At 51.0% G+C, this 23420-nt stretch overlaps 1 long non-coding RNA gene and 2 pseudogenes across 3 annotated transcripts in view; 1 reads left to right on the top strand and 2 right to left on the bottom strand.

The window, feature by feature from the left end:
- Window positions 1-18100, bottom strand: part of AQP7P3 (aquaporin 7 pseudogene 3) — a 34987-nt pseudogene extending 16887 nt beyond the window's left edge. Inside the window, exons 1-2 of the transcript NR_026558.1 lie at window positions 18033-18100; window positions 16883-16933 (exon numbers count right to left, since the gene is read on the bottom strand). The product of NR_026558.1 is annotated as an aquaporin 7 pseudogene 3 (transcript). The remainder of the gene's footprint in view (window positions 1-16882; window positions 16934-18032) is intronic.
- On the bottom strand, window positions 829-18131 carry LOC112267859 (putative aquaporin-7-like protein 3). Its single transcript, NR_172916.1, has 8 exons — window positions 18033-18131; window positions 16883-16933; window positions 10554-10683; window positions 2848-2971; window positions 2283-2420; window positions 1956-2074; window positions 1528-1745; window positions 829-1169 (listed from the first exon to the last, which is right to left on the bottom strand). It is a non-coding gene; the product is annotated as a putative aquaporin-7-like protein 3 (long non-coding RNA).
- Window positions 18132-18399: 268 nt separating this feature from the next.
- LOC101928195 (methylenetetrahydrofolate dehydrogenase (NADP+ dependent) 1 like pseudogene) overlaps window positions 18400-23420 on the top strand; it is a 40305-nt pseudogene continuing 35284 nt past the window's right edge. The window contains exons 1-4 of the transcript NR_135597.1: window positions 18400-18555; window positions 18998-19100; window positions 19975-20082; window positions 22424-22576. The product of NR_135597.1 is annotated as a methylenetetrahydrofolate dehydrogenase (NADP+ dependent) 1 like pseudogene (transcript). The remainder of the gene's footprint in view (window positions 18556-18997; window positions 19101-19974; window positions 20083-22423; window positions 22577-23420) is intronic.

The following is a 23420-nucleotide window of genomic DNA, read 5'->3' as shown; positions in this document are numbered from 1 at the left end:
CCAGGGTCAGTGGATCCTGGCCCCTCACCCCACCCAACCTCTGCAGCTGCTTCCCTGGAGCCCTTGGAGCCCTAAGAGGCCTCTTCCTGTGTCTTCATGTGTTCGAAGGATTTCCCTCTTTGCATCTTCCTTTCCTATTCCTTCATGTGGGAGCACTCTGGCACCAGGAAGAAGAAAGAGGAGCCCAACCCCTTACCAGCCTTCAATCTATAACAAGCATTCTCAAGGGAATTAAAACTGATTCTTAAAAGGGGAGGTGAAAAAAAATCTTACTCTTTTTTACGTATAAAGCACAGAACATATACAGAACATAAACAGATGTATAGTATATCTGTGGTATTAAAATTTCATGTGATTAAGAAAAAAAATCTGGAAGAATACTAGGGAAGGCACTAATGAAAAAAAGGCTAAAAAATTCTGATCTACCTTCTTGGGCCATGCCTTGTCTGGTCCAAGAACCGGCCAGAACTCGGGGAAGGGAACAACCAGGGGAGAGTCTAGAGTCCAGTCTCAGGATCCCCTCAAAGTATTTCCAAAGCCAGCCCCCCACCAGTCAGCTACAGTCCTTTCACCAAAACTGCCCTTCCTTCCCCCTTGCCTGAAAATCCCTCATTCTGTTTCTGTCATTCTTTCATCTTACCTTGTTCCTACTGAGGGCGCAGGTCAGCTCTTCCCCATTCTCCCCCTGGGGCACCCCAGTTCCCAGGGCATGAAAGACTTGAGGTGCCTCACCTCTACACCTTGGGCTAAGACATAGCCCTAGAGCTCCTGGAAGAACCCAGGAGGGAAGCCCAGCCACAGGAGGCCCCCAGGAAGTGGGGGTACTGCTGTGGGACAAGCTTCTCTTTATTGGGGAAGGGATGGGATCACAAATAATCTCTGCTTAGAAGTGCTCTAGGGCCATGGATTCATGTAAGGGTGGGGCAGGGTGGACTGAAGATCTGTTGGCAGGGCTCACGGAGATGAGGGTAAGGGGAGAGATCATGGGTTCATGAGATCCCATCTTGGGCAATACGGTTATCCCGTGGTCTTCATATGCCACAGAGTCCTCCAATTTCAGGGGCTCCCGTGGGATGGTGGAGCCAATGAAGACCAGGTAGATGATGCCACCTAGAGAGGCACCCAGAAGTGGTGCCACCACTGGCACCCACCACAAGTTCTCCCCATCGCTGCAGGCAAGAGGCAGAGGCCGGCTGAGGGGGCTGATGCCCAGGACAGCACCCTCATCCACCTCGGGCCAAGACTGGTTGAGCAGAGGAGTCATCCTCAGGCTAACCCAGGAAACACCCCCAACCCGGGGCCCTGGTCAGCCTCAGCCCGATTCAGGGACAGGGTTGACACTCAGTGCAGGTGCAGGATCTGTATCTGTACTGGCCTGGGGAAATGTTGGGACTCACTCCTGCTCCCCAGGCCACCTGGGGGCTCTGCAGGACCCTCCTGTGCTGCCCCTCACATCACCCCCCACACCTCAACACACAGGGGCCCCACAGAAAATCTCAAAGGAATGGGCCTGGGCAGGGGCAGTACCTGAAGACCAGTTTGCCCCAACCAGCAATGAAGGTGAAGATGCGGGGGGGCAGGTCCCGGGACGGATTGATGGCATATCCTGTGTTCATGCCATGGTACACCCTGATGATGACCACGAGGATGCCTATCACCAGTGCGTGTGTTCCTGGCAGTGCTGGGTTGTTCTCCTGGTCCACGATGGCGAAGAGACACAGCTGGAGCATCCCGGTCAGCCACTCCTGAGGAGCAGATGCTGTGGAAGCTCACCTGGGCCCCTCCCCAAGCCACAGGACCTCGGCAGTGCCCCAGACCCAAGCCCACCAGCAGAGACACATCTTGGTACAGTCTCCATCCAGAGTTCTTGTCCTGTCTATCCGGAGGGACTCCCTGCTGGCTCCGTCCTGAGGGGTGGAGGGCAGGGGGAGGGGTACTCATCCTGGACCACTGACCTCATTCAGGAAGCCCCGCCACAATGTCATGTGATCAGGAAGGTAGGTGGCAAAAATGCCAACTGTAGCAACGGGACCGGTCACCATCAGCTCTCCACCCGAAAAGTGGAGAATGGCCGCTGTGGAGACACAGACTATCATGCGAACCTGTCCCCAGCTAAGCCCCACCAGGGTCCCGGAAATTAGGTTATAGGTTAGAGGGTGGGAGACCTCCAAGGCTTTTTTCTCCCAGCTATTTTTTACAAATCAGGACACTGAGGTCCAATCTGCCCATATTTCATAGGAGGCAGCTGAGGCCAGAGGCGGACACCCGGGCAGGACGCTCACTGTAGAAGAGACTGTAGATGGTGGCAGCTGCCAGGAAGGAGCCCAGGAACTGCCCCAGCACATAGACTGGAAACTTCCTCCAGGGCACACGGCCCAGTGCACAGTTAGTGAGGCTCACAGCTGCGTTCATGTGGGCTCCTGCGGGCAGCAGGCAAGTGTGTCAGGGAGTGAGAGCAGAACAAACAACAGTGACAAACAGTATGAGAACAACGATGGCTAGTGTGTATGACAGCATGCTCCGTGACAGAGTTCTCTCCTTGAGCCCTCACAACCACCCCGTGAGGCAGGGGCCACCGTCTTCCTTTCACTCTTAAGGAAACTGAGGAACACAGAGGCGATGGCTTGCCTAAGATGACCCAGCCAGTGAAAATGGTAGGTCGGGGGGGCCAGGAAGAATCTGGGGCAGACACGTCATAGGCACGGGGTTCAGAGGAGACTTCCTCCCGCCCGGTGGCCAGGCTGAGGCACTGGCTGTGCTGGCAAAGGAGCTGGCTGAGGCGGGCAGGAAAGAGCCTGTTGGGGACACCTGGTCTTGCCCGGTCCGGCAGGGCCTGGGCTCACTCACCAGAGGTGCGGCCTGCCATGTGCACTCCCATGGTGACTCCGAAGCCAAAACCCAAGTTGACACCAAGGTAGCTCCCAAATGTTTTATTTAGAAGCATATGGGCCACGGAACCAAGGCCGAATACCTACAAGGGAGGGCCTCTAAGGGGGCTGCCTGCCCAGAAGCCCCAACCTCAGAGGAGGGCTCAGAGCTCAGTTCTAGCTCCTCACCCTCATGCCCTGGGCCTCCCTGGCGTTGCCTCGAAGACCCTCTGCCATGCCCTCTTCCTCCAGAGCCTTCCCTCCTCACTGCCTCCTCTCCTTGCCCCTGCTGAGGCCTCTCAGACCTGAGCCACTGAGAGCCGGGTGGAGCGGCAGAGTTAGAAGCTCTTACTACAAACATCCAAGCACCTCAGCCCCAGGCCCACCTGAAGTTTTGGGGTGAGGCAGGGCTGCGAGGAGGGGATGGCTGGCATGCATTGCACCCCCTCAGAGTCCCTCACACTTCAGGCTGACCTGAAGGAAGTTTCTTCAAGGGACCTCCAAATCCATCCATGCCTGACTCTGCCAGGAACCCCTCCCTACACACACACACTCCACCGCAATTCCCACAATGCTGGAACAGTGGGCCCCTAACTGTCTTGCCCTCAGCTTCATTTCCACTGACCTCAGGCGGCATTCCCAAGCTGCTGCTTCTTGCCCATCCCTCACGGCTCCTCAGATAATGCTGCCTTCACAGGGGAAGGGGCCTACCTTCAGGCCCATTACCCTCAGTCTAGAGCCACTGTTCCCTTCAGCCCTGGCTCCTGTGCTATCCTCTCCCTCTGCAGAGGCCTCCGTCTCCCCCATACCTTCCATCCTCCCATTGATCGGTTCCCACACACTGGAGTCTCATCCTTCCCAGCAAACTGTCCCACCCCTGCCCAGTGTCCTTCTCCAGCTGTGGGTTCCTGGTTGCCCCCTCCCTGTTTCAGTCAGGCTGCAGGAGAGAACACACTGGCCAGCTGCTTCACCCCTTCCCTCGCACCCCCTCCTCAATCTGGCTTCCATTTCCACATGTCACAGACACCAAAGCTCTCTCCAAGGGCTCCAGCAACCTCCTGATTTTCCAAAGGTCTTTTCAGGCATGGTTTTACCACGTAGACAGTCTCAGCTATGCCTGATGCGCTGAAATTCCCGTCATCTCCGTGGGGGAGCCAGATGCCTATTTGCAAATCCCCACTGCAACTCTCCTGGTGTTCCGCGGACGTCTCAGGCTCTGTTGAAGGTTCGCCATCTCACAGCACACCTGCTCCTCACTCTATGTTCCCCATCCCCGTTGGCCGAGCCAGAAACTCAGATGTTGCAAATGATAGTTAAGCACTATTATTCTCCCCCACTTGACAGATGGGTAATCTGAAGCTTAGAGAACTTGAATGGCTTGTCCAAGGTCACACAGCCTGTACATGGTGAGCCAGGATTAAATCCAGGCAGTTACCTGTGCCAGATGGCCTCAAACCAAACAACTGCGCTGCTCCATGCATGCCTTGCTTTCTTGTGCCTCTGTTTTATTTGTTTGTTTGTTTGATGCTTGAGATAGGGTTTTGCTCTATCACCCAGGCTGGAGTGCAGTGCCATGATCAGGGCTCATTGCAGCCTCCATCTCCTGGGCTCAAGTGATACTCCCACCTCAGCCTCTCAAGTAGTTGGGACTATGGGCATGTGCCTCGGCACGCAGCCAATTTTTTTTTTTTTTTTTTGAGACAGTCTTGCTCTGTCGCCCAAGCCGGAGTGCAATGGCGCAATCTCGGCTCACTGCAACCTCCAACTCCCGGGTTCAAGTGATTCTCCTGCCTTAGCCTCCCGAGTAGTTGAGATTATAGGTGCATGCCACCATGCCCAACTATTTTTTTGTATTTTTAGTAGAGACAGGGTTTCACGATGTTGGCCAGACTGGTCTCAAACACCTGACCTCAGATGATCAGCCTGCCTTGGCCTCCCAAAGTGCTGGGATTACAGGCATGAGCCATTGAGCCCTATCCCAGCTAAGTTTTTCAATTTATTTTGTGTAGAGATGAGGTTTCACTATGTTGCCCGGGCTGGTCTCGAGCTCCTGGCCTTAAGCAATCCTCTCACCTCAGCCTCCCAGAGTGCTGGGATTACAGGTGTGAGCCACCATGCCTGGCCAGAATATCCTAATAATTTTACATTGATTGCATCTTGAAATAGGATTTTGGCTATATGGGTTAATTATTAAAATTAATTTCACCTGTTGCTTTTTACCTTTTTAATGTGGATACTAGAAAAAATTAAATTATACAGATGGCTTGTATTGTATTTCCCCTGGAGAACTCTGTTCTAGAGTTGATAAAGGAGAAAACCTGAAGAATTGTAGACATAAGGGCCAAAGTCAAAGCCGACAGAGGAGAAGGCCCCAGGAGAGGGTACAAGGTAAGAAGGCAGACCAGGCCGGGTGCGGTGGCTCATGCCTGTAATCCCAGCACTTTGGAAGGCCGAGGTGGATGGATCACTTTAGGTCAGGAGTTCAAGACCAGCATGACAAAACCCCGTCTCTACTAATAATACAAAAATTAGCCAGGCGTGGTGGTGCTTGCCTGTAATCCCGGCTACTCAGGAGGCTGAGACAGGAGAATTGCTTGAACCCAGGAGGTGGAGCTTGCAGTGATCTGAGATCACACCACTGCACTCCAGCCTGGGCGACAGAGCAAGACTCCATCTCAAAAAAAGAAAAAAAAAAGAGTTGAAAGGCACCAGTGTAGACTCCTCTTCGAGAATTCGCCTGAGGAGCGGGGAAGAGAGAACATGATCCCGTGAAGGGGCTGACAGGGTGAAGGGAGGGATGTTTCATTTTGTGTTGTTTTCAGTGGAGAAACTTCAGTATGTTTATAGGCTGAGAGAGGGATGGGCTGAAGATAAAGGACAGAGAAAAAGGACAGAGTAAAGTACCTGAATAGGCTGGACAGCTGGATTGGTGCAGAAGTGGAGGTGTCCTCCAGGAAGGAGAGGACCCCACCCCAGCCAAGGGGTGATATGTGGATACACGGGTGGTTAATGGGTCTGGTGGTAAGAGGGACAAGAGGGTGAGCTGAACATAGGAAGTGTTGATTATTTTACCTATCAAGCAGCAGATCAAGCCATTTGCTGATTTAAAAAAAAAAAGAGTACAGAGCAGCTTTGGGGAAGTCTGAGAAAATGTGAAATAGCCCAGATATGGTGGGGGAGAGGCAGCTGAGCAGGGCCCACTGGGTCCCTCAGAAGCCCCAGGACAGGAGCAGGGGAGCCCAGAGCTAGGCTGGCTTCAGATCCAGGATAAGATACAGCAGGAGAGGACAGGAACAGATGGGGGTGCAGGGGGGAGTGAGGTCAGGACAGGTTGACAGGCTGGCAGGGTCAAGAGGTAGAGGGACTGGAGGAGGCATGGAGGGTCTGAAAACAGAGGGGCCCCCATGGCCTTTCCCGCATTCCAATACCATGTGCTAAAAATACTGGATGAGCATAGGCCAGGTGTGGTGGCTCACGCCTGTAATCCCAGCACTTTGGGAGACCGAGGCAGGCCGATCATGAGGTCAGGAGTTTGAGACCTGCTTAGCCAACATGGTGAAACCCCGTCTCTACTAAAGATACAAAAAATTAGCCAGGTGTGGTGGCACATGCCTGTAATCCCAGCTACTCGGCAGGCTGAGGCAGGAGAATCACTTGAACCCGGGAGGCAGAGCAGTGAGCTGAGATCACACCACTGCACTCCAGCCTGGGCAACAGGGTGAGACTCTGTCTCAAAAAAATAAAATAAATAAAATAAAATACTGGGTGAATGAATGAACCCCACATGATTCCTTGTGTCAGGGTTGCCAACTGGCAACTCATGCACCTAATTCATCCAGCGCACAGATTTTGTTTAGATAACTTGGTTTTGAAGAACAGAAGTTTCCGTCTCTCTTGAAAAATGAGCAGCTCAAGCAACACTGGCCTGCATTCCACCCTCCATGGCAACAGTCAGCTGGAGTGGCAGCAGCTCTACAGCCTTGCACAGATTGGCACTCTGCAGCCAGCCAAAGTCCCCACCGCCCTGAGTTGCCGCTCTCTTGGCCCCCGTAGCATGTGATCTACAACCCTTGCCCCGTGTCTCATGTGTATGGCTGGTTTTCCAGGGCCCGGATGGCTCCAGCCCCTCCTCTCCCTGATCAGTGAATGTGGCCCAGCCCATCCAACTCTCCCCCACAGCCAGGAGGCCAGCTCCAAGGGCAACACACCTGGAAGCTGCAACACGGATCAGTCCACTTCCCTTGTCCTGGCTGCAATAAATGGGGCCAAGGTCACACTAGCTTTTTTGGCAAAACTTCACCCTGGTGACTCACTGAGATTCCTATATATATATTTACAAAAAAAAAAAAAAGCCCTCACTTCTTGGCACAGCCTGGCAACTAAAAATAACAACACCACAATATCCGATTTAGGCTTACGCCTCACAAAGTTCTTTTACAAGTGCTACTGTCTTCAATCCTCACAACAAATCTGCACAGCAAGAATTTTTCTCCCACTCTATAAATGGGGAAACTGAGGCCGAGAGAGGCATCTTGAACTACCTGAAAGTGAGGACTTTACCCTGGCTGGGGGAGCATTAACAAGCGAGTCTTTAAAAGCTGGCAATATTTAAGCTAAGGTACAGAGCATAGAGGTTAAGGGTCAAGACTGTGATATTGGGCTGGGCACGGTGACTCATGCCTGTAATCCCAGCACTTTGGGAGGCCGAGGTGGGAGGATCACTTGAAGTCAGGAGTTCAAGACCAGCCTTGACAACATGGTGAAACCTTGTCTTTCCTAAAAATACAAAAATTGGCTGGGCATGGTGGCATGCACCTGTAATTCCAGCTACTCCAGAGGCTGAGATGCAAGAATCGCTTGAACCCAGGAGGTAGAGGTTGCAGTGAGCCGAGATTGCACCACTGTGACAAAGCAAGACTGTATCTCAAAAAAACAAAAACAAAAACAAAAAAGACTGTGATATTAGACTGCACTGGATTTAATCTTGACTTAAAGTGTGACCTTGGGCAAAAGGCTTAGTCTCAAGGAGCCTCAGTTTTCCCATCTGTGAAACTGGGATAATAATAGTACCTACTTCACAGGGCTATTGCGAGGATTTGGGAAGATGCTGCACGTAAGGGGCTTAGCATCACAGAGCCCGGGATGCATTAGGTGCTCAATGAAAATCTCAACAAAAGGAAGAGGAACACAGATGTGGGCAGGTATCAAGCATGTGGGCGGTGCCTATTTCCCTAACAGCTCTCAGAGGATGCACCCTCCTGCCTCCGAGGCTCCAAGGGTTAACAGCCCTCATGGGGCTGGAATGTCTTGTGGTAAGTGAATTACTTTGCCCTGGATTAAGGAGGGACAGGATCCAACTGCTGTCCTCACAGCTCAGGAGCCAAAGCAGGTGGGGAGGTAAGAGAGGAGTAGGGGAGGGCCAGAGACAGAGAGGAGACAGCAGCTAGAGCACCCGTCCTAATAACAAGGGACCAATACATGGGTACCACACTGGGTGCTGAGACTTGGCCTTCTTCACACAAGTCCTCCTGTTAACCAATAAGGAAGCTAAAGTTGTGGGCTGGGAGAGGTGACTCACGCCAGCAATCCCAGCACTTTGGGAGGCCGAGGCAGGAAGGTCACCTGAATTCGGGAGTTCGAGACCAGTCTGGCCAACATGGTGAAACCCCATCTCTACTAAAAATAGAAAAATTAGCTGAGCACAGTGGCACATGCCTGTAGTCCCAGCTACTCAAGAGGCTGAGGCAAGAGAGTCACTTGAGTATGGGAGGTGGGGGCTGCAGTGAGCTGAGATCGTACCACTGCACTCCATCCTAGGAGACAGAGTGAGACCCTGTCTCAAAAACAAGAAAGCTAAATTTGTGAACAGTTAAGATACTTGTGGATAGTCGCACAGCTAGAAGATAACAGAGCTAGGATTCAAACACAGCTCCAAAGCCCACGAAGGCCTAATTCTACACGATATAAGTGAGAAGTCAGGCTTTAAGCCAGGGAGAGACCTGCCCAAGGCAACTGGTCACTCAGTGGCAGGGTCAGGCTAAGAAACCTGGTGTTCCAATTTCCTCTCTCCCTTGAGCTCCATGGGCCCCACCACACACACGAACAGCCTCTCTCACCCCACCTTCCTCTAGCATGCACCTGGCTGCCTTTGCCTCCCTTCCCAGAGGCTGCCCCTTCTTTCTCTAGACCCTGGACCCTGCATAAGATGCAATAAACATGGCTACAGTCATGTTAAGGGCAGAGGCTCACTGGGGTAAGTGGCAGGGCTGAAGCAGGTGGAGAGGGAGCAACCTCACATCCCACCTGCAGTCTGGATTCTGTCCCAATCACACACTAAAGAAGAGCCCTTGTCAAGGTTACCAGCAACCTCCACATTGGCAAACCCTAAGGCCCCTTGCCAGTGCTCACCTTGCGTGGCCCATCTGCCGCTGCCCATGCCGCTGATGGCTTCTTCCTGGTGGAACCACTGCCCCCCTCTGTCATGCAGTCGGCTCTGGTTCTCCTCCCACCTCTCTGACCATTCCTTCTCAGGCTCCTTTGCGTGCCCCTCTTCATTCCTCAGGGCTCTGTCCTCAAACCATCCTTTTCTCTTTCTGTACACTCCTTCTAGACAGTGTTGACAACCACCACCTGTGTTGTGATGAACTTCAACTTTTTCCTTCCAGACCAAGCCTCTCCTGAGCTCCAGACCCTTGCCTGTGTTTAACTATCTCCTGGATTTCCCTACAGGCATCTTGCCTCTCACCCTGTGCTGGGCCCCGTGCTCCAGAACAGCTCATCGGCGCTTTGCCCACATGTTCTGCTGGCAGAGTCTCCCCGATTCCATCTTCCACAGCCCTCTCAAACATGTGCTTTCTTCTCCAACCCCAGATCAGTCATCACCCTCTCTCTGTCCCAGATCAAAAACAGCCTCTTAACTGGTTCCTTCTTGCCAGCCTTGCCTGTCCTGCTTATGCTCCACACTGCACCCAAAATTACCTTTAAAATCCAAATCTGATCATGTCACTCCCCTGCTTGCCAGCCTTCAACATCGCCCATTGCCCTCTGGATTCATTATCAGAGCCTGATCATCAAGTTTCTCTTCAATCTCTCTCTCTTTTTTCTTTTCTTTTTTTTTTTTTTTGAGACAGAGTTTTGCTCCTGTCACCCAGGCTGGAGTGCAATGGTGTGATCTCAGCTCACTGCAACCTCCACCTCCTGGGCTCAAGCGATTCTCCTGCCTCAGCCTCCTGAATAACTGAGGTTACAGGTGTCCGCCACCATGCCCAGCTAATTTTTGTGTTTTTAGTAGAGACGGGGTTTCACCATGTTGGCCAGGCTGGTTTCGAACTCCTGACCTCAGGTGATCCACTTGCCTAAGCCTCCCAAAGTGCTGGAATTACAGGCATGAGCCACTGCACCTGGGCCTCTTCAATCTCTTTACTCTGGGTTTCCCTTCTCCCCATTTCCAGCCTTGCCCCGGATACCCCAGTGCATGGTTTCATTTGACCCCCACATATTATGAGCCCTTTCTGTCCAAAAAGACTTGATGAGAAAGCCCCCCCCCCCCTTACTTTCCTCGCTGCTTCCCCAGGCTCCCAGCTCAGAGGCAAGGAATGGACAATGTGACCCATGGGGTCAGAATGGGGAGGGGGTCATGGAAGGCCCTGGCAGAGCCCACCCACTTCGTGCTGCCCGCCCACTCACCATCATGACATATGTGCTCATGAACTCGGCCAGGAACTCTCGCGCCATCTTCCTCTCATCTTCCTCGCATCATATTTCCTGGATCTTTGCTATCACGGACCAGGAGACCATTTTGGAGCCACGGGTGGACCTGATACAGTGGCCCGAGCTCATGGACAGAAAGGAGACTCAAGTCTGCCTGCTGCCCATCGGCTCTTCAACTCACAGCTGAGTTAATAGGTAACCCAGCAGACTTGCCACACACACCTCCTCTTGCCCGGGGCAGCTGGGACAGCTGGAATTGGAGACACTTGAGAGCCATGGGGACATGGAGAGGAACTGGGGTAGATGGCCAAGCCATGCCCCTTGTAGTTGGGACTGGACCAGTAAAAATGGCACACCAATGAGGCCACTTTGCAGACGGACAGGTGGGGAGCTGAAAGTGCAATCCACGGTGCCAACAAGCCTCTGGGAAAAAGTAGGGTGGGAGAGAGCAGGCTGGAAAGTAGAGCTCAGTAGTCTATGTCTGTCCATCTGTCTGTCTGCCTATCTGCTAGAGCCAGAACTTTGGGGTCACAGGCCAGGGCCTGGCAACAGTGAGGCACTCTACAAACAGCATGAAGTGTGACAAAGTCTGCTGCCGAGCTCTGTAAACAGCACTGAGCACTGAAACATGCGCCAGGTTCTGTCAAAAATGAAGGGGTCAGCAAAATGCACCAGGCTGTGCAACCAGGTCAGTGCAAACAGAGGTTTGTGAGAGAGTGAGTGAATGAATGAATGAATGACCAAGAGAGCGGGAGGGAGAAAAGGAAGGACTGGATCTACTTCCTGGTGTATCTTTAGTGCCCAGCACCATGCCAGGCACATAGTAGATGTGCAATAAGTATTTGTTGAATGGGTGAAAACTGGGGAATCTGTCTTACTCCCAACTAGATCCTCAGAGCTTGCCAAAGGGCCTGGCACTTGATTTATATTTAGTTAAGTGCACGGTTAGATGGAAAGGTAGATGAAACAGGTGAGTAACAGGTTCCAAATCTGCGTATAGGGAGAGGTATAGGACTGGAGTTTGGGGAAGGTGGCGGGGTGGGACTGGAGGATAAAGAGGAAGAAGAGGGGCTGGGCCCGGTAGCTCACGCCTATAATCCCAGCACTTTGGGAGGCCAAAGTGGGCAGATCACCTGAGGTCAGGAGTTCGAGACCAGCCTGACCAACATAGAGAAACCCTATCTCTACTAAAAAATACAAAATTAGCCAGGCATGGTGGCGCATGCCTGTAATCCCAGCTACTTCGGAGGCTGAGGCAGGAGAATCACTTGAACATGGGAGATGGAGGTTGTGGTGAGCCGAGATCTTGCCACTGCACTCCAGCCTGGGCAACAAGTGCGAGACTCCATCTCAAAAAAAAAAAAAAAAAAAAAGAGGAAGAAGAGGGATACAGATACCTCTAAGTGTGGCCTTAGTCACTCTGCTATCTCACTGTCTGCATGCCCGGAAGCTGACACCAGCCCCTCAACTCCTCTGGCCAGCCCATCCTTGCATATCACGTACTGCCTTAGCTGCAGGCCTTTGCACATGCCAGTCCTACACCGAGAATGGTTCCCTGCCTCCCCAGAGGCTCCTTTACCCGCCAGCCTTCTTTTCTTGACCTAAATTTCCCTTTCTCTGGGAGAGCCTCCTACCCTCTCCTCTAGGCCATTCACTTCTTCCACATGCCCCACGGTGCCCACTCTTTCAGCTGGGGCAATGCTCATCACACTGCATAGTAATTGCTCAGTTAGGCCAGGCACAGTGTCTCACGCCTGTAATCCCAGCACTTGCTGAGGCGAGCTGATCGCTTGAGCCCAGGAGTTCAAGACCAGCCTGGGCAGTATGACAAAACCTCATCTCTACAAAAAAAAAAAAAATACAAAAATTAGTCAGGTGTTGTGGTGTACGCCTGTGGTCCCAGCTAATGGGGAGGCTGATGTGAGAGGATTGCCTGAGCCCAGAAGGCAGAGGTTGCAGTGAGCTGAGATCACACCACTGCACTCCAGCGTGGGTGACAGAGCGACACCCTGTCTCAAAAAAGAAAAAAAAAAAAAGCTTAATTAATTAACGGTTTTTCTTCCTAAGGGCTGGGATCATACCAGTTTGCTTCACTGCAGTGCCTGAACATAGTAGGCATAGTAGATTCAATAAATCTTTGGTTCCTTGGCTGGTTGTTGCCTGCTCTGTGCTGATGAGAAAGGAGCCAGGCTTCCAGGATTCCCTTGGTGTTCTTGGCTCCCTGCTCTGTCTACCTCTCCCCTGCCTCTATGGTACCTTCCCAGGACTGTCTTTGGGCTGCTGCTTGCATTGATAGGGTCTCTTCTTCAGGGCTGAGGAGGCTGGTCATGGGATAATGAGACCCCTATACGATGCTGCATGGGAGCTGGAGTTGGATGGGGGCCAGTGGAATATCCGCGCAACTCTGCATCCCCCTCCATCTACTCATCCCTGGTTTTGTTTCTCTGGAGTAAGGAATAGAGCAAGGACTGGGATGGGTGAGCCATGAACAGAGGGTCTCAGCTGAAAAGTGGAAGATGTTTTATTCCATGCCTGGACGTCTCTCATTCCCTCTGCTTACTTTTTGCTGCTGTGAGGTCAGGGGAATTTAGGAGCCCTGAGGAATGCTGCTGCTCTCCCTAGCAGGGCGAGGTGACCCTCCACTGGCTCCCATCCAACCCCACCTCCCATGCTGGAGGTAACCACAGAAGAGGAGAGAGAAGTGGACAGAGCGGAAAGACAAGAACACCAAGAGAATCCTGGAAGCCTGGCTCCTTCCTCATCACCACACAGCAGGCAAGACACAGTAAGCAACAGATAACCACCAACCAGCCAATGAACTCAAGATTTCTTGAATCTACTGTGCCTAGAATGTTCAGTCACTGCAGTAAAAGACACTGGTACAATCCAGCCTGTGGGAAGAAAAGCAATCAATTGAGCAATTACTATGCAGTGTGATGAGCATTGCCCCAGCTGAAAGAGTGGGCACTGTGGGGCATGTGGAGGAAGTGAATGGCCTAGAGGAGGGGGTAGGAGGCTCCCAGAGAAAGGGAAATTCAGGTCAAGAAAAGAAGGCTGGAGGGTAAAGGAGCCTCCAGGGAGGCAGGGATCACTCTGGGCGTAGGACTGGCATGTGCAAAGGCCTGCAGCTAAGGCAGTATCCAATGTGCAGGAATGGGCTGGCCACGGAGGAGTGGAGGTGGCATGAGATGGGCAGAGAGGGGCCAGGGCCAGGTGGCAGAAGGCCTCATGGCCCACATTAGGGAGTCTGAACTCTACCAGAGGGCCATGGGCCAAGTGGAGGGTTTCAGCAGGAGAGCTGCCTCCCCTGTGGAGGCCAGGATGGAGGAAGTGGAGTGGAGGCAGGGTGAGCATCAGCTTCTCCACAGATGGGTGGAGAAGTGGTGGCAGTCTGAGCCACAAGGATGGCAGTGCCAATGGCCACAAGAACACAGTCAAGCTGACAGGCTTGGTGTTCGGTTAGAGAGGGAAGGGAGCGGGGCAGCTCAGCGATGCCCTCAGGTCCTGGCTAGGGCAGCGGAATGACTAGCGTGGGGCACAGCAGAGAAGCTGTGGAAGAATGGACAAGGAGGCCCTTTCTGGACATGTTGAGTGTGAGGAGCCTGCTAGACACTTGGGTGGGATGGCCAGTGAGGAGGCAGCTGGTCATGTGGTCTCACTTACAGACACATTTGGAGGACAGCAAATCACAGATGGTCATCTGAGCCATGGGCATAGATGAGAGAGCTCAAGGAGAGGGTACAGACTAAGAAGAGGGGCCCAAGAAAGCCAGCCTACAAAGCAAGAAACTGACAGCCAACCAGATCCCCTAAGTAATCTGTTAACCAAGGAACTAAATAGCTAACAACTCACTAACGCCTGTTTCTTTTCTTTTTCTTTTTCTTTTTTTTTTTGAGACAGGGTCTCACTCTGTCGCCCAGGCTGAAGTGCAGTGGCACAGTCACAGCTCACTGAAGCCTAGACTTCCCAGGGTTCAAGTGATCCTCCCACCTCAGCCTCCCAAGTAGTTGGGACTACAGGAGCATGCCACCATGACCGGCTATTTTTTCCTATTTTTTGTAGAGATGGGGTTTTGCCATGTTACCCAAGCTGGTCCCAAACTCCTGGACTCAAGCAATCCTCCAGCCTCAGCCTCCCAAGGTGCAGGGATTTCAGGCATGAGCCAACATGCCCGGTGGCTTATTAACCCTTTGACTAACCTATCAAAAACCAACTAACTGATTCTCCTGTTAACCAGCTATTAACTCATTGAATTATCTAATCAACCAGTCAACCATAAACTATCCAACTAACCACGAGCCAACAATTCAACCTGCTAACCAACATTTCTTCATTCAACAAACATTTGTTGGCCAGGCATGGTGACTCATGCCTGTAATCCCAACACTTCAGGAGGCCGAGGCAGGTGGATCACTTGAGGTCAGAAGTTCAAGACCAGCCTGGACAACATGGCAGAACCCCATTTCCACTAAAAATAAAAAAAAAATTAGCTGGGCGTGGTGGCAGGCACCTGTAATCCCAGCTGGGGTGGGGGCTGAGATGTGAGAATCGCTTGAGCCCAAGAAGCAGAAGTTGCAGTGAGCTGAGATCATGCCACTGCACTCCAGCATGGGCAACAGAACAAGACTCCATCTCAAAAAAAGAAAAAATTTTTGTTGAGCACCTACTTATGAGTCAAGCACCAGGGATACAAAGTCAAAACCCACTCTCCACTCTTGGGTCACTCTGTTTAATAGAAGAGATGGGTAATGGCAACACCACCAGAGAGAAGCAGCCTGGGACTGGGGGAACTCAGGGGAGGCATGGGAGGTGAGGCCTGAAGGGAGTTTTGAAGAATGGGCGGGTGGTGGCCTGACATGGCCATGGGGGAGTAGGGTGGTGGTAGAAAGAATGGTGGAAGCTGTGCACATTCTAGATATTTTAGGAGATTGGTGACTGGATGTGAGGCATGGGGAAGAGGGAAGTATCAAGGACATGACCTTGACTTCTGGCTTGAGCAACTGAAGAGAAGGGGACCCCTGACTGAGCCAAGAGCACAGGAGGAGTGGACTTGTGGGGGGCGGAGGAGGCTGTTTCCATCTAGGAGCTGAGTTGCCTGTGAGACACCAGTGGGTCTCTAGAAACAGGATCTAAAGCCCTGGAAAGAGACGTAGGCTAGAGGCAATGATGTCAACAGAGGGGCACTATTCATTCTCTCCGTCCAAGTGTACAACAGGCAAATATCCCTGCTTGCGTGGAGCTGACAGCAATGAAATGTAATAAGTAAGTACATTTGTATAAGCGAAGGTACCAGCTCCTATGGGAAAAAACAGAGCAAGGAGAGGGGAATTGGGAGTGCAGGGGCTGGAGATGGGGTGTGATTTCAAATAGGGCAGTCAGAGTAATCCTTGTTGAGAAGGTGGCCTTGGAGCAAAGCCATGAAGGAGATGAGAGTGGGCTGTATGTTAACTGCAGAAAGCCTCTCAGATGGAGGGAATAGTCACCAGAGGACTCTCAGCATGTTTGAAGAAAGCAAAGAAAGTCAGTGTGAGGCCAGGTGCAGTGGCTCACACCTGTAATCCCAATCTTTTGGGAGGCCGAGGTGGGTGGATCACCTGAGGTCAGGAGTTCAAGAACAGCCTGGCGAACATGGCGAAACCCCATTTCTACTAAAAATACAAAAAAAAAAAAAAAAAAAACAAACAACTAATTAGCTGGGCATGGTAGTGTGTGCCTGTAATCCTGTAATCCCAGCTACTCAGGAGGCTGAGGCAAGAGAATCGCTTGAACCCGGGAGAAGGAGGTTGCAGTGAACCAAGATCTTGCCATTGCACTCCAGCCTGGGCAACAGAACTGGATTCCATCTCAAAAAAAAAAAAAAAGAAAAGAAAAAAAAAAACCAGAAAAGAAACTCAGTGTGGCTGGAGGAGGGAGAGCAGGGGGCTGGAGTGGGGAGGCCAGAAAGCTAACAAGGACTACATAGGCAGGGCCTTGGCCATTGCAAGGACTGGCTCTTTTTCACCCCAAAGACAGCTGAGCCTGAGAGGGTGAGAGGTGCTGAGTGCAGTTGAGTTGAAGGCCACCTGCATGCCTTGACCCTCATCCAAGTATTTCTGAGCCTCCCCTCACCCCAGGACCCAGCCCAGGCAACAGGTGGAAGATGCTTTTCTTCTGGGACCTCAGAGGCGAGTGGGTGGGTGGGGAGGAGGAGGTCGAGGGGGGACAGCTGCCCCAAGGGAGAGGCTGAGGATGGAGCAGGGAGGGCACTGAAGTGGGCTGGGTGGAGGACAGGGGGCTGGAGGGTGAGAAGAGGGTGGGGTACTTACCGCCTGTGCCCAGATGCTTGAACCATGTTTTGTCCTTCAGATTTGTAGATGCTGAGGAGCCAAAGAGAGGTCACTAGGGCTGGAGGACACAGAACTTGGCCCCACACTTCCATCAGATCTTTGTCCCCAGGGGAGAAGCCCTGGGGCAGCTCCTGCTAGTGCCACTCCCTTAACCCAGCCAAGGAACAGGGAGGGAGGAGCGGTGCTCAGCCAATGAGGCGACGCCCTGGAGCCCCACCCCACCCATGCTGGCCCCAGGACCCCAACCCCAGGCCAGACCCTCCAGTGCTCCTGCTGACCTTCCCTGTCTGCAGCCCAGCTTTGGACTGTGGAGATGCCCTCAGCCTCTACTCAGTGGCTCCAGCCTCATATTTGCGTGCTATACCTTTAACCTCAAGTTCTCTTGCTGCTAACTTAAGCTGTGACTGTCCAGGACCGGCACACACACATACATGCACGCATGCACACACACACACACACACACACACACACAGAAGGTGAACACACAGGATGAGGCCCTGAAAACTCATTTCACCCGTGTACCTCACCCAAAAATTCCCCTTTGTACTCCTATCTTTATCTCTAACAGACAGCATGAAGGTAGCCCGAAGTCCCCTCACCCTGTCTGTCCTCCTGATTCTCTAGCCCAGTTCCCTCTAGCTCCAGCACAGACTCTTATCTCCAGCCCTGACTGCTGAAACCCTCCAGCCCCAGCTCCAGCCCCTCAGGAGGGGACTGCGTGGGAGGAATGACTCCAGCAAGCCGGCAGCTGACCCGTCTCTGGCCTGCATGCCTCCCCCTGTGGTCCACTGCCGGTGGTCTTCAGCTCTCTCCTCGTCCCACCCCCATGGTCTGCTGACAGCCCAGCCCAGTGCATCCCTGCCATCTCTGCTCTACCGCTGGTCCTCCCAACAACCAACTTACAGGTAAGGAAACTGAGGCCCAGAGAGAAGGTGTATGTGCCTGTGTCACACAGCAACACAGGACTGCACCATAACAAGAAAGCCGGGACTTCCACTCCCAGCCGGGGCTCCTTCCCCAAACAATCCCTCAGTCACCTCCTCGCTGTATGGTACCCAGGGAATGACCCTTCCAGATCTGGGCACTGAGGAGGCTGCCCCATCCCCACCCTGCCTGGAGCCCCACTCACTCTGCTGAAATGTCTTCTGATTCTCAGCCTCTGCCTTGGGGGCTTCTCAGTTAAAGCGCATCTTGATCTTGTTCCTCTGTGACTGTCTCTGGCTCAGCTTCCACCCCCAGCTGGGGCTCAGCTATCCCTGTGTCCCCAGTCCAGAGCCTGCCTCTCAGCCCTCCCAAGGCGGCCTTGAGCGCTGCTCCTGCTCCTCCAGGGGAGAGGTCAGTAAGGCAGGGATTTGGCTGGTGCCACTTGAACCAAGTCCAGATGCACTGCCCAAAATAACTTCCCTCGTCTGGCCAGCAGTGCAGTGGAGACTGAGTTCTGAAGCAGGCCTTTGTGAGGTCAGAGGTGGAGTTCTGGGTGGGCACTCTGGGCCTCACAGTCCCAGAGGAAAGGCCTGTCCTCCAAGCCAATGTGCAGCCTGACTCTGGGGCCAGCGCCTGAGGAAGCCCTCCCTGAGCCCCAGCCCTGGGGAAGGCTGAAGAGGCCTCTGAGCTCCCAGCGCTGGGGAGCGCTGTGCAGAATAGGACTGGAGGTGGAAGTGTTGGAGATTAACAGCCAGATGGAGGGGACGGGGGGAGGCCCTGGGTCAGTCCTCAGGGAACCCCCATTCTGAAGGGGGAGAGGGAAACTCAGGCCCAGTCCTCAGGGGCCCCCAGTCTGAGAGGAAGGAGGACACACGAGCCATATTTGCAGAGAAACACCAGCCTGCGAGAGGAGGTAGAAGCCCAGGCCTGGCCCTCCGAGGGCCCCTAGTCTGAGGAGCAGTCCACCTGCCCTCGGGAAAACACCTCCCTTAGGAAAGGCCAGCAAGGCCCCCGTAAAGGAGCCACAGCTGGATCGGGGCATGGGGCTCGGGGCCCAGCGGTGTGGGAGCTCCGGGACCGAGGTGCAGTCAGGAGAGACCCTGGGGGCCAGTGGCAGTCCAAGAGGACTTTTGGAGCCAAGGCCTGACTGGGTCTCAAACAATGGGGCAGGCAGTTTGGGGTTTCAGCAGGTGGCCCAGTGCTGAGACACAAGGGAGTTGTTTCTGGTCTGCAGACACTGAGGACACTTGCTATGTGGCGTGGTGGATGGTGGGTAAGTCCTGGGAATTTCTGGCACCAGGTTCCCTGGGTGGGAAGGGGCATAGGATTCAGTTGTCCAAAGCTCAGGTGTGGGAATGGAACTGTCCTGTAGAGGGTGCCAAAGACCAGGTCTGGAAACTGCATAGCCCCAGTCCCCACCCCCACACACACCATCCCACCCCTTCCAGCTTTTTCTGCAGATCTTTCTGCAGGGGTGAGGCAGGGAGAGGAAGGGGTCGGCCGCAGTTCTGGGGCTTCCTAGTCAGAAGCCCTCTGTAAGGCACTAACTTCCCTCTTCCCTCTGCAGATTTTTTTTTTTTTTTTTTTTGAGACGGAGTCCTACTCCACCCAGGCTGGAGTGCAGTGGCACAATCTTGTCTCACCACAGTCTCTGCCTCCCAGTTCAAGTGATTCTCCTGCCTCAGCCTCCCAAGTAGCTCGGATTACAGGCATGCACCACCAAGCCCAGCTAGTTTTTTTGGATTTTTAGTAAAGACGGGGTGTCACCATATTGATCAGGCTGGTTTCGAACTCCTGACCTCAGGTAATCCACCCGCCTCGGCCTCCCAAAGTACTGGGATTATAGGTGTGAGCCACTGTGCCCGGCCTCCCTCTGCAGATTCTACATGGGCTCTAGGCAGCCTCTAAATTGCCTGAACACCTAAGGCTTATTTGCTAGTTGACATCCGATCTATTCTGACACTGAAAATTTCAGTGCTTTAGGGTGCTAAAAGGAAAAAAGAGGGTTTGCAAGGAATCCTGCAGTTGCTGAGGGGGTACCCTGATAAGGGAATTTTAAGCAATTACAGTAAGTGTCACTAAACTTTTAAAAAAATCTTTAACCAGATTAAACTTACACAATTTTTTTATAATTTGTGTTTCTGCAGCTTCCAATTGTGGACAAGATAAGGACCATTGCCCAGGCTGTCTATGGAGCCAAAGATATCGAACTCTGTCCTGAGGCACAAGTCAAAATAGATCGTTACACTCAGCAGGTAAAAGTTGTACTTTTAGGGGAAAAGAAAAAATTCACCTTAGGCTCTCAGAATACTCAGCTTGACTTGAGGATTTGTACATGTCTCACCAGCTAACCTTTGCTTAATCTATTTTCTGGTTAACAAAGATGAAAGCAATATCCTCGGGTAGAGTGTAAACTATATTTAGAACTTTATGGTGAGGCATGTATCCTCTGATCCATGCATCATTTACTTCTGTGACTATAAATGTGTCTGATATGGGTGGTATCCCTGTTTGTAGGTGATGTGTGATCTTTCATCCCTCCCACTCAGCCCAGAACGTTGAAACTATCCTTTGGAGTAGAGCTGCGGAGTCAGATTTGCATGAATTGCAATGCTTCCTCTTCCTTACAGGCCTCTTACTACCTTAAAAATGCTAGCAAGGTGCCAGGGTAGGCAGATAGGAGTGCAGCCTATAAAGATGGGAATGTTTGCTGTTCTTATGCAAGCGGTTCATTGGCTTTTTACTGAGCTGGTCCACTGAGGTTGAAGGCTCCATCATCTTCTACCTCTAGCCACTGAGAAAGGCAAGTAGGCAAACAGCTGGGAAAGTGGCTACGATCTGACAGCATGTGTCATCACCTAGTCCAGTGACAGTCATGATGAATCAACTCCATTATAGGAGGCTCAGCCACCTTTTACCAAAAGGATCATGTGCCTCCAGTGTCCCTCCTACTTTGGTGTAATCAGATAGATAGAAGTCAGAACATTTTAAGAGCCTGTTGGCTAAAGAGCTTCATGATTGGTAGTGTTGACCTTATCTTTAAAAACAATCTCCAACTCCTTATTCTTTTTTGTAAACCCATTTGAAATTTTGTTAAATGCTACCATTGCCAGCCAGGGTATTTGTTCTCCTAGGTTTGGTAAAATAGGAACTCAGAAAGTTCTAAATTCTTAGAATTTTCCCTGATGTTCTTGGCTTACCCTTTACAAAAAGGATTCCCAAGCACTGCTCTGTGCCTAGGCATTGTGGTGAAGTTTTCATTCATGTGCAATGAACCAAGTAAAATAAGGTCATTCTCATGAGGTTGCTTTGTTTTTTATTCCCCGAGTTTTTAATAATGATATTTAAGACTATCATTTATTGTAATATTAAGTCTTTTCTCCTTTCAGTGTTAAAATGTTATTTCTTTTATGAAGTAATCTGGTGACAGTATATAGCATACTGGTTGGTTTCTGTTTCTTTTTAATATGCCTACTAACAAAATTTTTACATTAGCAAACCTATAGAAATTACTTTAATATTTAACCATGTCTGAAATTCAAAATTCTGGCACCATTCTGAAAGGCAGTTGTGATTCTCACTCAGCAAAATTCTTATCAGTATAGAAGAGTGGAGATTTCAAAAAGAAAATGGCCCCAAGCCCAAGTCCTCCCTAAGTTGATAAGACTCTAAGATCTTCCAAATAGTTTTAGGCTAAGTCTTATGAAAATTTGACTAAAGATTTCATTCCCTTTATCTCTATCAAGGAAATACTCCTTAAAAGTCGTGTCAACCAGGCACGGTGCTCACACCTGTAATCCCAGCACTTTGTGGGGGCAAGGCAGAGGATCAGTTGAAGCCAGGAGTTGAGACCACTCTGAGCAACATAGCAAAACCTCCATCTCTATTTTTATTTTTTTTAAAGTTAGTGCCAAGTATGTGGTTGCAATGAATTAGCAAAGCCTCTGAAGGAACACTGTGTGCCATTTAATCAGAAACAGGCTTATAGGACACTGTGCTTTTTGTGAGACACCACATGTGACTTCCTGCTCTTTCACCTTTGGAACTCTGGGTCAGACATAGACTTTTGTCCTTAAAAACAAGAAGCTTAAATAGTGACCTCATCTTAGCTCTTGTAATGTAGTTGCAGATCAAATAACCATGATTCATAAACCAACACAAAGGAACCCTTTGCTTCTTGACTGACTCCAGAATGAGTGAACAACATGACTAAGAGCCTAGTCGCAGAGCCTTTCTCCAGACTACCTTGCTGGGTCCCGGATATTAATAGTCTTGGAAAGCGGTTTCTACAGCTGCTGCTTTGCCTGCAAATAGCAATGCTTTTCCCAAACATGCACATAACACTGCCTTCTCTTAACGAGAACCTCCAAAATAAACAATAGTCACCCCTGACCTACTAAACAGTCATCACATGGAGATGAGTTTTTATCCTCACCTTCTTGCTTCTTCAGTGAACAAGTAGTAACAAGCAGCTCCTGCGTGTGCCTCGATCTGAGCTGGCATACCATTGCTGCCGAGACTGTATAAAGTGCAAATTGAAAAACACAGGAGACTCACGTCTATATCAGTGAACACATTTTCTTTCCTTTCTTACAGGGTTTTGGAAATTTGCCCATCTGCATGGCAAAGACCGATCTTTCTCTGTCTCACCAACCTGACAAAAAAGGTGTGCCAAGGGACTTCATCTTACCTATCAGTGATGTCCGGGCCAGCATAGGTGCTGGGTTCATTTACCCTTTGGTCGGAACGGTGAGTGAGTCACATTTTCCAAAATCCCTCCCCATTCTGCATTGTCGCAGTGCCTCAAATCGTTATGCTCCACCCGCTCTTTAAAAATCATGGATTAGGGAGAATTGGGAGTAATTAATAGTACAGTATTCGCTATTTTTCTAAACACTCTGTCTCACCTACCTTTGCCATTGTGCTTTGGGTTTTTCTTTTTTTAGATCATGTGTTCAGGATCCTTAGAGTCATAATACTAATTTCCTTCCTAAGGCAAGTAAGAACATAACTTGGGAGAATTCAGTCTATTTAAATGGTAGAATGGCTTAGGACAGTGGTTGTCAACCTTTATCACACATAGCACCCAAAATGATGTAATCAGTAGGGTTGAATGCTCACACCAGACAGGATCTGCCCAGTCACCCTAAGGGCTGGGGAAAGCAGTCCTCACCCTCTCACTTCCCCAGCACATCAGGTGGGAAGTTCTGGCTTAGGAAATTACTGAATCATATGAATTCTCATTTTTGATGTTGTTGTGATGGGATTACGTTGCTATTGGTTGATTATTCTGTTATTTTGTGTTATCTATGGAGGTAAACGAGATGAGCAGAGATATAAAAGCTTATCAAAGTGCTTAAAATCCATGAAGATTGGCTTCATTTGGTATAGCTACACAGTGATAGCCTTCCGTTGGTACCATCAGTGGCCTAAATTTGATTTCTTGTCTTTGGGAGTGCTCCTGAATTTGGTTTAGAATAAAAAAGAATTCTTAAAACCTGGCAGATCCCATGGCAAGAAAAGAAAAAAAATTCTAACCCATCATTATCATCATCATTAGTGCAAAGTGATCTGAGCTTAAACAGCATACATT

This window comes from Homo sapiens, chromosome 9 (genome assembly GCF_000001405.40).
Source record: "Homo sapiens chromosome 9, GRCh38.p14 Primary Assembly".
Lineage (NCBI taxonomy): Eukaryota > Metazoa > Chordata > Mammalia > Primates > Hominidae > Homo > Homo sapiens.
This window is presented reverse-complemented; position numbering and strand designations above follow the sequence as displayed.